The sequence below is a fragment of the Homo sapiens genome, chromosome 4 (assembly GCF_000001405.40).
Source record: "Homo sapiens chromosome 4, GRCh38.p14 Primary Assembly".
Lineage (NCBI taxonomy): Eukaryota > Metazoa > Chordata > Mammalia > Primates > Hominidae > Homo > Homo sapiens.
In genome coordinates this window covers 93,378,884-93,396,292 of record NC_000004.12, presented here as the reverse complement: position 1 = coordinate 93,396,292, position 17,409 = coordinate 93,378,884, and the positions used below count along the sequence as shown (strand labels likewise).

Below are 17,409 nucleotides of genomic sequence, written 5' to 3'. Positions count from 1 at the left end.
TGATAAGTTCTATCAAGACAGAATTATATCTGTCATTTTATTTGTCAATGTTCTCAGTAATCAGCACTGAGCCTGGAATACAGTCGACAGTAGATGCCTATTAAACAACAGCTTCCCTTTGAAGTAGGTTCTTACGAGAAAAAGATTCTTAGTTTGTTAATATTTCACTATTAGAGAATGTACATTTTACCAAATCTACCATTGTTTGGCATGGTCAGGGTTATGTTCATTTATAGTTTCAATGTTCACTATATGTTGACTATCTATGTTCACTACAGTTTTAATGAAAGAAGGCCTGAGACATACCTTTACTTTGTCATGTGTAGAAAACTGTAGGATGGAAATTGAGCCTAAAATTTCTAAGAAAATTCCTAACACATACACTGTAGTTAAAAGTCTGCAAAACTGTGATCCTGATCCACGTAAATTGAAGGCTGTGAAATATGACCATTAAAAAATCTTAGAAAGCGTATTTAGAATTTGTTAAAATCTCTTTTAAGATTATGTCATCAGTTAATAAAGAAAGAAATATAGGATAAAGTAACCTCCAAAAGTCAAAACCACGAGGCTCAGATAATACTTACCAGAACAGTTACTACACGTAGAACCACTCCACGCATGTTATTCTCCAATTTCTTGTCAGTCAGTGACCCATTCAGACCTGTGACAGGATTCCAGCAACCAAGCTGAAAGATAAGACAACTTTGGTCATTTTTCTGCCTGAAGAACAGTCCCATCACCTCTGTATAGTCTTTATGGAGAACTATGTGATAGCTCTTAGAATAATTGGTATGGAAAGAGTACTGCACAGGTTTTCTTTTTAAATAGGAAATGAAGTTATTAGATATGCCATTTCTTGCTCTTAAATATCATTATATGGCACATGACAGTACCCAATGTGCTTTAGGAGGCTCATTGAGGACATTTTACTTAATGAGGACTTATGTATACACCAATCACTCAGTCCCAGTAATGTACTAATTGGAAAAATAATAGCACATATAACTCTAACATAATGTCTTTTTTAATATATCAATTACTGTAAGTTAGATTCTCTAATAGTTTCAATGGTTTTAATTTGATCTTATATGGCTTTTACTGGGAAAAAAGACACTATTTTTAATATGGTTAGAAGGGCAACTGCTTTTATTTGAAAAAAATCATGTGTATGTCTTTGTTTTCAAAGTATTCATAGCACATAAAACAATATAATTTGCCTTTTTGGCAGTGTTATCAATTTGCTTGGAATATTTTGGCAGCAGCCTTTCCCTTAAAGTCTTGCAATGACTCACTGCTCTTTACTCACCCAAATAGTAGTTTAATTTTATGCTGTTATATAGGTCTTATCTCTTGGAATGTACAAATCTGAGGGCTACCAGTTTTTAAATTACTGTCTATATATCTGAATGGGATAAAAATTGATGACTCTCAATCAAAAATATGGAGAAAGAAAGAGATGATTTGACTTGAATTAGCAGATAACTGTTTACAGAACAAGGCTACAGAGAGAGAGAATGTTGTAATGCACATCTTGAGAAGAAATTTCCTATTATTCATCCTGAAAGCAGATCCATGAGCCTTCACATTTGGGAACATATTCCGCATGTGCACACTTAAAAATGTAACAGATCTTTCATCATATTCAGAGACTGTTTTGATTAACTGAATGGTCATAGGGGCAAATGGTTATTTGTGCTGTTTCCTCCTGATGATTGTGATTTATTTCTTTTTATTGCGGTTTGTCTGTAGCTTCCAAAGTCATCTACATACTGGCTGGCAAGTCTCCCCCACAAATAAACAATTTAGGTGCTTCCTATTAAAACCCAAGTTTCCCTTTAAGCTCCCCAAAAGGTGTTTAATTAAGAAAATGAAAATGTACATAATATATCTTAAGAGAAGGGAATGTCACAGTATAAACAGCAGAGCCAGCTTTTTCCTTATTAAAATAATTTGGAAAAGGCTGCTAATTGTTAGTTTCAACTGTAAAAGCACATTAAATTCATACAATGATATGTCATTCTTAGTTACATAAAAAGCCTAATTAGAACTTAGATCCAATTAGCAAATCCAAATGTGTTGAAAGTCTAATTATCAAAGACATTGTGGTCCTCTTGCCATATTTAAAACTTTACGAAATTTCTTTTGAGCTTTTCTCTTCTGAGGTCAACAAAAGTCTATCTTCAATTACATTCCCTGATGTGTGCTTTTTCTAATTACTTCCTCAAGAGGATTTTACTTTCCTAGACCAAATAATATTGGTGGAAAAAGTGATCTATAACATTAAGTGAAGAGCTATTCCAATGTGCTTTCTCCACATATTACAACCATATAACTTAATTTTAAGCTTAACGAATAGCTTTTAAGATATAATCTTGTTCGTGGTAAGTATGTCTAAGCTGCCAAAGCACACACAGGAATTTCTTTTCTGTCCCCCTTAAATTCGTCTCTTAACTTTGGTGAACCTATTGTCAGTTTGTGTAAATAAATGACATCTATTAGCACCAACTTGACTGTACCATTTTGGTGTATTGAGTAGTCAAAAATATCAGCAACTGGATTAACAGTGAAACCTGAGCCATTTGTTTCAACAATGCTATGGACAAACATTTATAAATATATAATTTCCAGTTTCCTCAGAATGATGTTTTCTTTTAAACATAACTGAACATGGTCAATGGTTTTATAATTCTAAAGCATTCTAGTATTTGGAGGTTCCAAACAATGACAGCAAAAAAGCATTTGAAGTAGGTAGAATAGGTAAATATATCTAATCTTCTAACCTAGGCAATGACTTAAATATTATTCATACCATGTATAATATTTCTTTTCATTTTAAAAATGTTTAATATTTGGCTAGACTCTCTCATATATATTACAAGACAATAATTTCTCTCCTCTGCTTGACAAAGACTTTTCACCTTTCTGTGTTCTCCTTTTTTTTCCGCCTGACTCATACATCCTTTGATAACAGCATTTGTACAGTTGTTCTTCTTCTTAATAACAGCAGTCTGGATTTTAGGATTGGTAAGTTCCATTTACTTAGTTCTTCCTTCAAATGTACAAACAAATTTTAATGTTTCCTAAATATTAGCTGTGGATGTCAAGAGTTAGGATGCTCAAAGACTGAATTTGGGAGTAAAGAATGTTTAGGATACAGATTATCTGGAAAACTAGAAATAAAGTACATTCTCTTATCACATATGATAATGGGGTATAACTAAGAAATTATTAAGGAAATAAAATAATACTTATTTCCTATATTGATTATGTTTTTGAACACTGTTAAATACTTTCTATGTGTCAGCCATGGTACTGAGCTTTTTATACATGTAAGCTTCACAATGACCATATGAGAAGGTGCCCTTACCATTATTATTTAACAGACAAGAAAACTAAGGACTTCATTAAGATCACATATATACTAAGAGGTAAAATTAGTATTTAATTCACTTCTTTTTAAAGTCCAGATACAGCATTTTTCATTGAGGTGTTGTTTTATAACTTATGAATCTTTTTCATAAATGTGATCTATTTAAGGTAGGAAGGGAAGATATTTCTACTTTATAGTCAACGACATTGAGACTCAGAATTGTTAAGTGTTTTGTTTTATACTCCTGGGCTCAAGGGATTCTCCCACCTCAGCCTCCCAAAATGCTGGGATTATAGGTTTAAGCCACAGCACCCAGTCTGGATTTCTCATTTTAACATTCTTTAATTTCTGTTCATATCCACTTACCTCCCTGAGGTTCATTTCAAGCTTTTTTGTTTGATTATAATAACTTTTTAAAATAATAAGCAATGAAAATGAGTTAGATTCATATAGATTCAAATTGAATTTGTATCTGCAACTGGTAATGTTTCTTATTGCATAGCAAGAATGACAGGCATAGTGTTTGATAAAAACTAGAAGAATTTCACTTAGGTTCAAGTGTGAGGCTTATCTAACAAGTCCTCTGGTTTCGATGTCTGAATTCTCATTAATTTGACTTCTCTGGTTATGTGGAGGTGGTTGTTTTTGTCTGCTGTGTCTTTGATTTTGTTTCTGTTTTTTTTAACAATGAGTCCAAGACTAGTAAAGAGAACACACACACAAAATCTCATACTGTCTATTCAGCTGAGTGCTTCCTAAATAAAAAACAATAAAGATGGCCCTTGCAGCACATGAGACTTAGAGAAAGTCACACTGCTGATGGCAAAACAAGATTCACTATCTTCAGTGGTCTGGCAATCTGAAGAAAATTTAGACGGGATAAAAAAAGTAAACCCAATTCAATTTCCTTTCAATTACAGTATATTGATTTTCTATAGTATTTTCTGGTTATTGATTTCCTATAGTATTTTCTGTCATTTTAAGACCTTAAAATGCCTAGTGCTTTAATTATTTCCTTCATTGGAGCTTTGGCAATAATAATCTTGTAACATTCTGTTAAAATTAATGTAATATCTTGTGTTCAACAAACTGGATTGATGTATTTGCATGAGCACAGTAGCCTGCTCCTAACATGTGTACTAATGATCAAGTTTTAAATATTTACTCTTTCTTCCTCAATGTTTCCACTTCTTATTTGCCATGGGCTGTAAGGAATGACTTGTGACTCTTGGGTTTTACATTATTTTTCAGGCAGTGTTATAATGTCAAAAAGAGCTGAACTGCTCGATTTTAATTTTATGCTCAATAGTTTGTAGGCTTTAATAACAGGAGTCAGGGGAGATCTTAATTGAATACCAAATGGAATTCTCTCCATTTATTAACTTGTATTCATATGGAACAAATGAAGCCCATCTGTACGACCAATGCTCCAGCTGCCGGACACAAAATATCCACTGCACTGAGGACCTATGCTACCAGCCACAATGTTTTGTTTACTTGATTTCTCAGCTGAGAAAAAGAGGGAACAAAAAGCCATAGGCAAAGCAGCTTAAAAGCCAGCCACTTAGAAATGTGCAGCATTTATTTGGTAGATATTCTGTAAGGGGATAGAAAGTGTAAAAAATACATATGGCAGGTTGACTCAGATACATGTTTTATAGAAGTAAATTGGAATGTTTTCCACTTTGACATGTGAATGAATGCAGTGTGCCAGTAATCTCTCCAATGATAATTTTCTTTATGGTATTTCCACCTGCAAGATAGGTTCAATTTGTAAAATGTGTTCCCTAGAGGATGATTATATGCTCCTAAGATTCTATTACTACAGTTTGGTCATTACTATAAAGTAGTAGTCGTTCTTGAGATTATGTGGAATAGCCTTAGCACTTGAGCTTCCTTCAGGAGAAAATGTCTTTGAAAAGTCAGAAAAAAAATCACATGGTTCAACCACTTTTATCTCCCTGTTTCACTACTGAAAACAGAACCTTCATACTATGTAACAAGAACTTGTTAACTGATTCCTACAAATGAAGAAAACATGAGAACCAGCATATATATACACACACATATATATACAAATATGTATACATATATCTATATATAGACATATTTGAATAAATATATACATATATATGTCTATATACACATATGTATAACCCATAGATGTTTTATGCAGTCATAATAATCACTCTATTATCAACTAGCATTTAACTGATTTAATGATATCCTATTTTTATAGGTTTTCCTTTCTTTTATAATTCTTCTGGTATAAAATTACCATTACACTACATTTAGAGGCAATATAGCATACCAGTTCAGATAAGAAGCTCTAGAAGAAGACTGATTGAGTTCAAGTACCTGTTCTAACACTTACTTTGCGTGTGCTGTTGGGTTTCAGTTTTCTCATCTCTCAAATGCGAATAGTAAAAGTGACTTCCTCATACAGTTTTTGGGACCACTAACTGATTTAAAATATGTTAAGTGTTTAGAAGTGTTCATGACACACTGAGACTAAAGAAATGTTTGTTATTATTTTTCCTATATAATCAGAATTCTTTTGTTCCTTGCTCAGTCTCATTTTTCGGGTGACTTAGTAGTCTGAGTGATAAAACATGCCCTTAAAACTGTGGCTTTCAACTTTTGTTGACTATTAGAATATTTTGTTGACTATTAGAATGGAAAGCTTTAAAAAATTCTGATGCTCCATCCAAACCCCAGGACAATTAAGTCAGAATCCCCAGGAGTATAACCAAGGCATCAGTAGTTTAAAAGCCTTTCCAGGTAATTCCAATGTATAGCCAAGGTTGAAAACCACTGCCCTAAAACTTGCTTCAGGCTGGGTGCGGTGGCTCACGCCTGTAGTCCCAACACTTTGGGAGGCCAAGGCGGGTAGATCACCTAAGGTCAGGAGTTCAAGACCAGCCTGGCCAACATGGTGAAACCCCGTCTCTACTAAAAATACAAAAATCAGCCAGGTGTGGTGGCACATGCCTGTAATCCCAGCTACTTGGGGGGCTGAGGCGGGAGAATTGCTTGAACCTGGGAGATGGAGGTTGCCGTGAGCCGAGGGTGCCACTGCACTCCAGCCTAGGCAACAGAGCAAGACTGTCTCAAAAAAAGAAAAAAAAAAGAAAAAAAAAAACTTGCTTCAACACACAGGGAATGCAAACTCATAGAATGGCTACTTAACCTCTTTTAATAAAGTCATTATTTTGACTGGTTTCCTTTGTGAAAGCTAACTAGGGATATTGTCTCAAGTAAACTATTTTTTATAATAAATATGATATGAACCTATAAACTATGTGCCAGAATGATGACTACCTTGTCCACAGTTGTACTCCTAGCTCTTATCATAGTATTGTTGTATTGGTACATGGCAGATTTGAATAAACAAATCCATGATTTAAAACTCCTGCTGTCCTCTTTATTCTTCTTTCTTTTTGGTTCTCCAGTTCAAGCTGAATGAAAAACCAAAATGTTTCCAACTAGACACCGTGTCCTAATATGATGTTGTATCCCTGAGAGTTTTCATGATTCTTCGGGGTCATTCCCCTCCCTCAAATTCTATTAGCTTTCCTTTTCTATCAGATCACAATATTATTATTTTTTCTAATAATATTTTAGCATTTAATTATTACAACCTGATAAAAGTTGCTGGATTTTCTTCTCTTCTATTCCATTCTACCTTGAGACATTTTAAGATGTTCATTTTAAAATCACATTAAATTCTCACTGTCTTTCCTATCTCCTCCATTAAATAATTAACCACTTAAGGTCATGGGTACCATCTGAATCATTTTTCTGTCTATTACAGTGCCTTTTACCATGTTTTGTACCAGTAAAGTAATTTTTATGAAACTGACAAGGTTAGTGTAAAGCATCTCTATTGCAATTTAGATCTTTACTCCTAAACAATAAAAATCTCAAGCTCAGCAATCTCCTTATATTTCACTATCACTTCACTGTCTCTGCTTAGATACCTCAAAGGGAGCTCAGATATCTCTAAGATTAAGCTCACTATCTATCCCTACTATCAGCTCAGTCCCACTAGCCAAAAATCAAGCTGTCAGTCTCACCACCTCTCAGATCCAATCCTTTGCCCAGCTCTGCCAATTTCACCTCTTTAAAAATGTCTCCTGAATCTATTTAACTCGTTCCTTCCTACCATCCTAGCCGAAGCTAATTTCATAGCTTCTCTTTACAGTCTTTCTTTGCAAACATAAATTCTGAGATTATAACATCTGCTTAAAGTCTTTCCATAGTTTTCCAGTATTCTCAAGATAAAGGCCAAACTTTGGATGTGGCCTACCAGAATTTGCATGATTTGTTATTATTTATATTCATCAATTCATGTCATAATGCCTTCCCTCTCATTCTTTGAATTCAAATCATATGAGTCTTCCTACGGTTTCTTGAGTAAGGCATAACCCTCCTACCTTGAAAATTTAAACATTGTTTCTAAAGCACTGACTAAAGCTTATCAGAACCGCTAGGGGAGTTATAAAAAAAGATCCCGACACCAAAGCCACACCCCATGCCAATGAAATCAGAATCTGGGCATGAAATCTAGGCATCAGTATTGTGTAAAGTTATGAAGATGATTCCAAAGTAGAGCCAAATGTGAGAATCAGTGGTTTTGAATATACAGTTTTCCTTGACTGGAACAATCTTAAGACACCTGCAATTCTTTAATGAATTAGTAAAGTAATTTTTCCTCATCCTTTAGATCTCAATATAAACACCTGTAGTTTGGGGTAAACTCTCCTTGATCTCCTGCCCCCACCCCAGGCTACCTCATATCACTGTAATATAGAATCATGTTCCTCTCTTTTACAGTAATATTGTAGTTAAGTTTTTTAAATATATATTTTGTATGATAATATTTATTGCAGCAATTATCTATAAATTTCCACGTGTTCAAGAAAAATTACTGTTTTGTTTCCTCTTCCCATTTATTAAATACATAATTATTGGCACAAAGTGAGACTTCAATTTTTATTGGATACTAAACAAATTTAGATGATTTTTAAACAAGAACCTTAATACACATTAAAGTGATTGTACATCATTTCTTTCTTTTTTTTTTTTTTTTTGAGACAGAGTCTTGCTCTGTTGCCCAGACTGGAGTGCAGTGGCATTATCTCGGCTCACTTCGGCCTCGGCCTCCCAGGTTCAAGCGATTCTCTTGCCTCAGCCTGCCGAGTAGTTGGGATTACAGGCACACACCACCATACCTGGCTAATTTTTGTATTTTTAGTAGAGATGGGGTTCCACTGTGTTGGCCAGGCTGGTCTCAAACTCCTGACCTCAGGTGATCCACCCACCTTGGCCTCCCAAAGTGCTGGGATTACAAGCATCAGCCACCGCGCCTGGCCTGTACATCATTTCTTATATGATGCTTTAAGTAAGTATCTCAATACATAGCCAACACTGTGTTACCAGCTATCAGCTGAGATTTTTCCCCCTTTTAAATTTAGATGGTGAATTTCCAACTGTCTTTCTTCCTGAGAGCAGAAAGGTTAAACTCTGTATAGTAAAGACCAAGGAACATTTTTCAAAAGCCTTCAGTATGAGGAATAATGATATTACCTAACTCTGGAGAGAATAAAATAAGTTGTTTTATTGGAGCTATAATCTGAACAGTTATATACAAGCAACCATAGCTATAGTAATAATAAGAGTAATACCTAATCTATGTTAGATACTTTTCATCTATATTATATCTCACTTGAAAGAGAACCACCAACATACAAATGAAATATAAACTGTTGAAACTTTTGGGAGGATTTCTCCTAGAAATCCTCTCAAGGAATCCAGCTCCAAGTCAAAAACCTCTGTATGATTTTGCCCTGCCCTAGGCAATACAAAGGCTTTGCCTGGGAGGCCTTCACAGAGGAAAGCTTCCCTCCCCAAACTGACTTGCACAGACAATGTGCTGCAGTGTCTGACGGGAGTTGCAGTCAAGGACTTAGGACCCCTGGCCAGCCATGTTTTATACATATTTGCATTCTTAGCCCAGGAGCCTCCATTCAGAGGCTTCTTTACTGGGGACTCTGAGATGAACCTTTCCAGGAGCCTCTGCCAAGACCTGCTTGTTGGGAGGAGTGGGTACCCTGGAGGACACTTTTCTCCATTCTGACTTAGTACTTGGTACTTTCCCATTCCTAGATCTTCCCCTTGCTTCTTCTCCTGCCCTTAGGTCCATAAAACCATAGGAACTTTTTGTTTGGGGTTCCCTGAGCAGTAAGACAGTTATCCAAAACTGTACTAATGCATCTGACCCTTGCGTGGTGCCATTTGTAGGGAAAATGAAACACAGGTGAAGCTGGCACTTTCTTTCTGGACTCTTGATTATACTATCACAGTAAGTGGAATAAAAGCTTAATCGTTACTTTCATTTTGGCTTGTTGTCTTACTGAATACTCCCACATCTGGCAGCTCAGCCCTCCCCAGCTCAGCTCAATTCTTAACATCTCCTATTTAATAATGGTGGTTTATATTTACTGAAGACTTATATTTATGAGGCAGGTATTGTGCCAGTCATTAGATATTATTTAATCTTTTTTTGCTATAATCCTGTCAGAATTATCCTGATATGATTATAATTATGCTAATTTTAACAGATGTGGAAATTGAGAATTAGAGGGATTAATTTACCTGTTCCAGGCTACTCAGCTAACAAATGACATAGCTAGGATTTGAACACAGGCAGTGTAGCTCTAGAAACTGCTGTCATTTTTTACCTCAATCAATGAGACACTATTTCAGAGAGGAATTAGAGCAAGGGTCATGCAGACAGCCTTAATAGTTTTGAGCGCTCACTTCTCAAGTTCAGCTTTGTGTTTTGGGGTCCTTGAGAAAACACATTTTTTTTTTAATAATAAACCCTTCTGTTTTGCTTCAACTATTCAAACTTGGTTTCTTTCACATGAGCTCAAAAATTTATATCTAACATATATGGACAGTATGGTAGATTTTGTGAATACATATCTAACTCAACATAGAGAAAGGAAGATATTTTTGAAAGACAGATAAAGAAGTAAAGAACATTAGGATGGGTGGTTAGATTTTATTTTCAGTAAAATCAGTTTTTTAAAAACCTTAGTTTCTCGATCTGAAAATGAAATGGTTTGTTAATGAAAAGAATTCTACACTCAAAACTCACAGCTTATTAGTGGTTGGGTTTATTTTGTGAATTTTTTTTTATATTATCAGAAAACCAATGTAAAATATATAAACATTGATGTAAGTATTATTATTAGTAAGGATTAATGATATTTATAAAGGGGAAGCTTACGAAATAACTTATGTCCCCTACTAGACTGCAAGTTCCATAGGCAAAGATCTTTGCCTCTTCTATTCACTGACGTATGGCAAGCACATGGAACAGGCCTAGTATACAATTCACACACAATGAAAATTTATTGCATGAATAAATGGCTCTTATTTTTCTCAAAGAAAGAACTAAGTCTCAGCAGCATAGAGGAGTTTTGTGGCATGCAGGTTTTATTTCAAGATGAGGAATAAATCAGTTAGTCTCATAAAATGTCTAGCTTGGTGATTCTACAATTGTTTAATATGATTGGGTTCACACCAAGAGTCATCCCTATGATGAACAAGAGAGGGTTTCTTATTCAGGTTTTCTAAATTACTCTCGCTAGAGATAGTACAATCAACCATTGCAATCAGTTTATCTGATGCTAAGACCGACATGACACTTGTCTAGGTCACTGTATGATTCTTCCTTTCCAGCTCTCTTGCTATCAGATGCCTTGCTCTTGCTGAAAATGTGCATGGAGTTCTTGGGTTTCATTGGTAACTATGAATCATCAGATGAGGAAGTATGCCTCTGAGTATTTTTATCAACTTTGAAGAGAATTTTTATTTTATTGCAGAGTATTCCAAACATTTAAACAATTGAAACTCCCATAAATCATTAACTCAACAGGCATGTTGAAAATGCTAGCATACTTCAAAAAGAGTCATTTTTTCCTTGTGGATTTATGTGTTCTTCTAATTACTCTTTTGTTAATCCTCCTAAATATGCTTCCCATATCTGTGTCCATTCACAACTCTTAGCTATAACCATATATGTAAGATAAGCATGAGAAAGTCAGGCGTATTTTAAAAAGGAGGTCAGTACTAAGTGATTGATATGCAGCAAGAAATAATGCAGTGCATGATATGCAGCAAGAAACAATCTAGTGGATAATAATACAACCACCGTGCATTAGTGTAAATACATCATTCTCCCACCACTTAAAATTTATAATTAAGAAGACAGTTATTTATTAAATACCTACTATGCTGGTTTTACGGGGTACAAGGAAATATAGAACATCATCTTTAACCTCCAAGAGTTTGTGATTGTTTTTGAAATGACAAAACAGGAAAAAATTTTTAATGACAACAAATTCCACTAGGCAGCATATGACTAATTCCCAAATGACTGATATAAATAATAAGTGCTGAGTGTTTTACAAAGGAGATATTTGTGAGAAAGGATCAGATGTCATCAAAGAAAATGATAAGAAAAAGCAGAGCACTGTGTGGTAGTCTGCCTGCAAGATGGCCACAGATAATTCCTCCTATCCCTGTGCACACATACCATTCTTCTTTCAAGAGATGGAGTCCACTTCCCTAATATTGTTGCGCTCCAAAATTCATATGTTGGAACTCAATTGTATTAAAGATTTAAGAAGGTGATTAATTCACGAGGGTTCTTCCCTCATGAATAGGATTAGCTCCCTTATAAAATGAACTGAAGGAAGTTGCCTTCCCCTTTGGCCATGTGAGGATACTGTTCACCCCTTCTGCAAGATGTGCCGTCTACGAAGCAGAGAGCAAGCCTTCACCAGGTATTGAATCTGCTGATGCCTTGACTTCTCAGCCTCTAGAACTCTGAGAAATAAATTACTACTATTTATGAATTACCCAAACTAAGGTATTTTATTATAGAAGCTCAAAAGGTCTAAGACAGCCCCTTTTCTTGAATCTGAGTTTGCTCTGTGAGTTTTCTCCAGTAAAATGTGGCAGAAGTGATGACATATGATTTGGTGGCATGAATCTTAAGAGATCTCACAGGTTTTCTCTTCTCATTTTTGGAAGCCAATCAAGTGAAAAAGAAATAAAGAAATAAAAAAAGGCTGGTCCAGAGCAGGGGAAAACCAAAGTTGTGAGTGAGATGTGAGCTGTGTAGGGGGTAGTGGCATCCCCATCCAGAGGACATTTCTCACAGCCATAGTCCACTAACAACAAAAATTAGAATTACAGCTGGTTCTCCCCAGCTTTCAAGGAGAGAAACAAGATTAGAAAGGAAGATTTTGGGAAGCTGGCAAAATAGAAAGCACCAGAAATCTGTCTCCCCATGTAGGCAACAACTGCACTGGCAGAATCTATCTGATATAAATATTCTGGAGTTCTGGAGTCTATTGAAGGCTTGAAACTTCCAGTGGAAAGCTTATAAGGAAAATTATGGTTACTTTTGATCAATTTAAGCTCTTAAAACAGTAGCAGCTACCTATCCTGACCCTTAGTCCAATGGCAGGCAGCCATGAATATGTTTCAGGAGCAACTTACATGCAGTTCACAAAAGCCAGCATGGGCAAAAGGAATGTTATAATCCAAATATTGGAGATCTGTGCTCTGATTGCTTACTGCTGCTTCTAATCACGGACTTGTAGACGAAGGGCTAGGTAGTCACTGTTGTTGCACCTCCCCTCCATTGTTGCACACCCCTACCCCTCTGGCTGAAGTAATTTCCAGGGGATTTAAATGGCCAGTGCCTGCTTGCCACCTTCATTTTTCTCTTTTCCTCTTTTTGGAGGTAGACATTAAATACTAAGACATTTAAAAGCAACCACATACACACGGGAAATTAGAAAGTTGCTGTGTATGCCCAGGGAAAGGTGCAGGCTCAAAAGAGACTTGAGAAGACCTTAAATTTACGTACATCTCAGATTGATCCTTTGCACAGAGACAGTCTAGTCTACAACATTTAGAACAAAAGGGGAAAACCTAGGAAATTTCTCCTAGGAAAACCTAGGAGAAATAAGTACAATCTGATTGCCGGAGTTACTACATTACTACAGTCACATGTCTAATTTTCAACAAAAAAAAATTATAAGGCATCCAAAGAAACAGGAAAGAATGGCTCATTTAAAAATAAAATAAAATAAGCCAACAGAAACTGTCACTGAAAAAGACATGATGGGGGACCTACTGGACAACTGTAATAAAACAACTGTAATAAAGATGCTCAAAGAACTAAAAGAAAAGTAGAGGAAATCAAGAAATAATACATGAATAAATTATAAACGTCCATAAAGAGATAGAAAACTTAAAAGTAGAAAGAAATTTTGTAGCTAAAAAGTACAAGTGAAATGAAAAAAATTTGCCAGAGATTTTCAAAGGTAGATTTAAGCAGCCAGAAGAAAGACTCAGCAAATGTAAAGAGAAGACCATGGGAATTATCAATCCAAGGAACAGAAAGAAAAAAGATTAAAGAAAAGTGAACAGAGAATAAGGAACCATTGGTACACCATCAAGTGGACAAACAGATGCATTATGGAGTCCATAAGAAGACAGAGAAAAGAAGAGAGGATATTTGAAGCCATAATGGCCAAAACTCCCAAATATAACAAAGAATATGAATATAAACATTTAAGAAGCTCAGTAAACTCTAAATACAATGAGCTCAGAGATCCACATTATCAACCTTTGAAATGATGAAGACAAAAAAGAGAATATCAAAAACATCAAAAGAGAAGTGATTAATCACATACAAGGGATTTTTGATAAAATTATAAGCATATATCTTATCAGAAATTTTGGAAACCATAAAGAAATGGGCCAATATATACAAAGTGCTAAGAGAAAATAAACCTGTCAAGCAAGAATCCTATATCTGGCAAAAATTTCCTTCAAACTAAGGGAGACATTAAGGCATTTCTAGGTATACAAAAGTTGAGAGGAGTTTGTTAACACTAGACTTGTCTGGAAGAAACGTTAATGTGAGTTCTGAAGATGGAAATAAAAATACACTATACAATAATTTGAAGTCATATATGAAGAAATAAATATCACAGTAAAGGTAAGTATATGGACAATTATAAAAGCTACTATTATTGTAACAATGGTTTAATTCAAGAAACTGATATATTTAAAAATTATTAGTTTTTGTTTTTGGACCTGCAATGTGTAAAGGTGTAGTTTTAGGACATCAGCAACCAAAAGAAGTGGGTATGGAAATGTAAAAGAGAGAGTTTTGTGTATTATTGGAGTTAAACTGGCATAAATCTAAATAAGAGTGTTATAACTGTAGGATGTTAAATGTAATAGCTATAGAAAATATACAAAAGTCAATGACATAGATACATAAACATTTCATTACAATAATCAACTAAACACAAAAGAAGACAGTCACGCAGGAAGCAAGGGACAAAAATGCTATAAGCCATATAGAAAACAAGTTTTTAAATGACAGAAGTAAGTCTCTCCTTATCAGTCAGCCTTACAAAGGATAGAAATACTACAACATGGATGAACCTTGAGGACATTATGCTAAGTGAAATGAATCAGTCACAAAATAACAAATACCTTATGATTCCACTTAACATAAGTTTCTTGAAATGGTCAAAATCATAGAAACAGAAAGAATAGCAGTTGCCACGGGCTGGACAGAGAGGGAAATGGGGAATCATTGTTTACTAAGTATAGAGTTTCAGTTTTGCATGATGAAAGGAGTTTTGAAAATAGATGGGTGATGATGGATGCAAAGGAATATAAATGTACTTATTATCATTGAACTGTACACTTAAAATGTTTAAGATGGTATATTTTATATGTGTATTTTACCACAATAAAATTTTTTTTAAAGGCTGGGGTAGAATATTGAGTAATTAGAGGCTATGTGGAGAGAAAAGGGTAACTAAAGCACCTCAGCCAACAGCCAGGACCAAAGCCCCAGACATGCAAATGATACCATCTTCAATCCTCTTACCCTAATTGAACTATCCCAGTGAGCGCCATGTAGAACAGAGGTAAGCTATCCCCACTGAATCCTGCCTGAATATCAGATCCGCAGGAACCTTAGTAATAAAACAGTTGTTTTAAGACAATATGCTTTAGAGTATTTTGTTATGTGGTATTTCATCATTGAAACACATGGCTTGTCAATGGTCAATGAACAGTCAATGGTAGCCTTTGCCTCTGAAATTGATCAGACATCTAAGGCTTCTATTAGTAAGAAGTTGTACATATATGAGGGATATTCTCTTGTTTTCTCAAGACTTTCTTTTATATCTTAAAACTTTTCCTTTTTAAATGCAAAATGTTTCCCAACTGCAACTCAGATAGACATTTCTGTATGCACTTGCATTTTGTGGAATTTCAATTTTCCTAATTGAAATTGAAAATTATCTATGCTTTGGAAAATAAGGCAAACTAGATCACGACTTGCTTTCAATGGCTGCCATAACAAACTGCCCCAAAGTCATCTGCTTAAACATCAAAAAATTATTCTCTCCAAGTTCCAGAGGACAGATATGAAATCAAAGTATTTGCAGGGCTCTATCCAAAGGCTCTAGGGGAAAATCTTTCATTGTCTTTTCCAGCTTCTCTTGGTTCCAAGCATTCTTTGACCTGTGGCTGCATAACTTCAATCTCTGTCTCCATTTTCACATGGCTGTCTCCTCTTCCTTTTCTGTTTTAAATCCCCGTATGTCTTTCTCTAATAAAGATACTTGCCATTAGATTTGGAGCCCACTCAGATATTCCATAACGATCTCATCTTGAAATTCTTTACAATTATATCTGCAAAGATATCTTTTCCCTATTTGATCACATTTACATGTTCCAGGGATTAGTTCATGGACATACTTTTTGTTTTTCGCAGGGTTGGGCACCATTTAACTTACTACAGATCACAATTTATAAATTCTCATTTTAGTGTCAAGCTTTTTATGAGGTCTGTTAAGTTAAAACACTATCTATTTGGGGAAATGGGTAGTTTTATGGGATCCAAATCCAATGGGGAGAATTGATGCTTTGTGTATCTCAATTGACTAGAATGTATTCAAATTAGAATAGAGAAAGTACTTACCAAACTGTTGTTGAGTTTGCATCTCTCAAATAAGTATCTCACTGTACTTATTATTTGAAATATTATCCTGGGCTTCAGTCACTTTACCTGTTTCTCCCAGTAGAATTTTGAGCTTTGTGATGGCTGAATCATCTTTTTATCACCATATCTCCAGCACTTTTGTATGCAATCGACCATTCATAAGTCATTCTGATTCAAAGTATTTTATTTTGCGCAATATGTTGTAATTAGTTTAATAAATATGTAGCGGGATTATTATCCCTTAGACATTTATGGCTGAGATACTGAGATGCATTTCCAATCTACCTTTTAATCTGCTAAATGGTAGGAAAAGATCTCTCCCCTTTTTGCTCCAGTCTACGTTTGACTTTCTAAAGTCAAGTGTAGAGAATGGAAGGGACAGCATAAGCTAGGTGTGATTACATACAGTCAGAGACATACGTAGTAAAATCAGAGGGAGCAAAAGTGCAACCCTCCTCAAATATTTTCAAAAAACTTTTAAAATCTATATTTTACCAATATATTAATTCAGTTAACATGTTGCTTGTTACTTATTCTATATTTAAATATATTACTTGTCTTATTGATAATAGCAAGTAAAGTGACGGAATAAACTTGATTAGATAATACAGTTTAGCTGAAAGTTGGTCATATTTGGTTTATAATAAAGCCTTACTATGAAAACACAATTCTTTTTCATAGAGTTTGCTTAGTGGCAAATCATATCCTCTATATGAAGTATATAGATTTCTTAAGGCATGTTTTATTAATGTAGAGAATAAAAAAACAGGTATCACTCTTGTCTTGCCAATGGTAATTTAGATCACAGGTTACTGAAGATAAAATCATTAATCAATCTTGGACCTCTATATACAGCAGGAATTATCCAAGGGATAATAGAGGAAGTTTTGTACAGGGATGTTCTATCCAACCAAAA

General features: G+C 34.9%; 1 protein-coding gene across 18 annotated transcripts in view; it reads right to left on the bottom strand.

Annotated features, from left to right (window-relative positions):
- Positions 1-17,409, bottom strand: part of GRID2 (glutamate ionotropic receptor delta type subunit 2) — a 1,506,491-nt gene that overhangs the window by 414,164 nt on the left and 1,074,918 nt on the right. For all 18 annotated transcript variants that reach the window (NM_001440459.1, XM_024454024.2, NM_001510.4 and 15 more), the window contains one exon: positions 585-686. In NM_001440459.1, the coding sequence (NP_001427388.1) occupies positions 585-686 (102 nt within the window). The remainder of the gene's footprint in view (positions 1-584; positions 687-17,409) is intronic.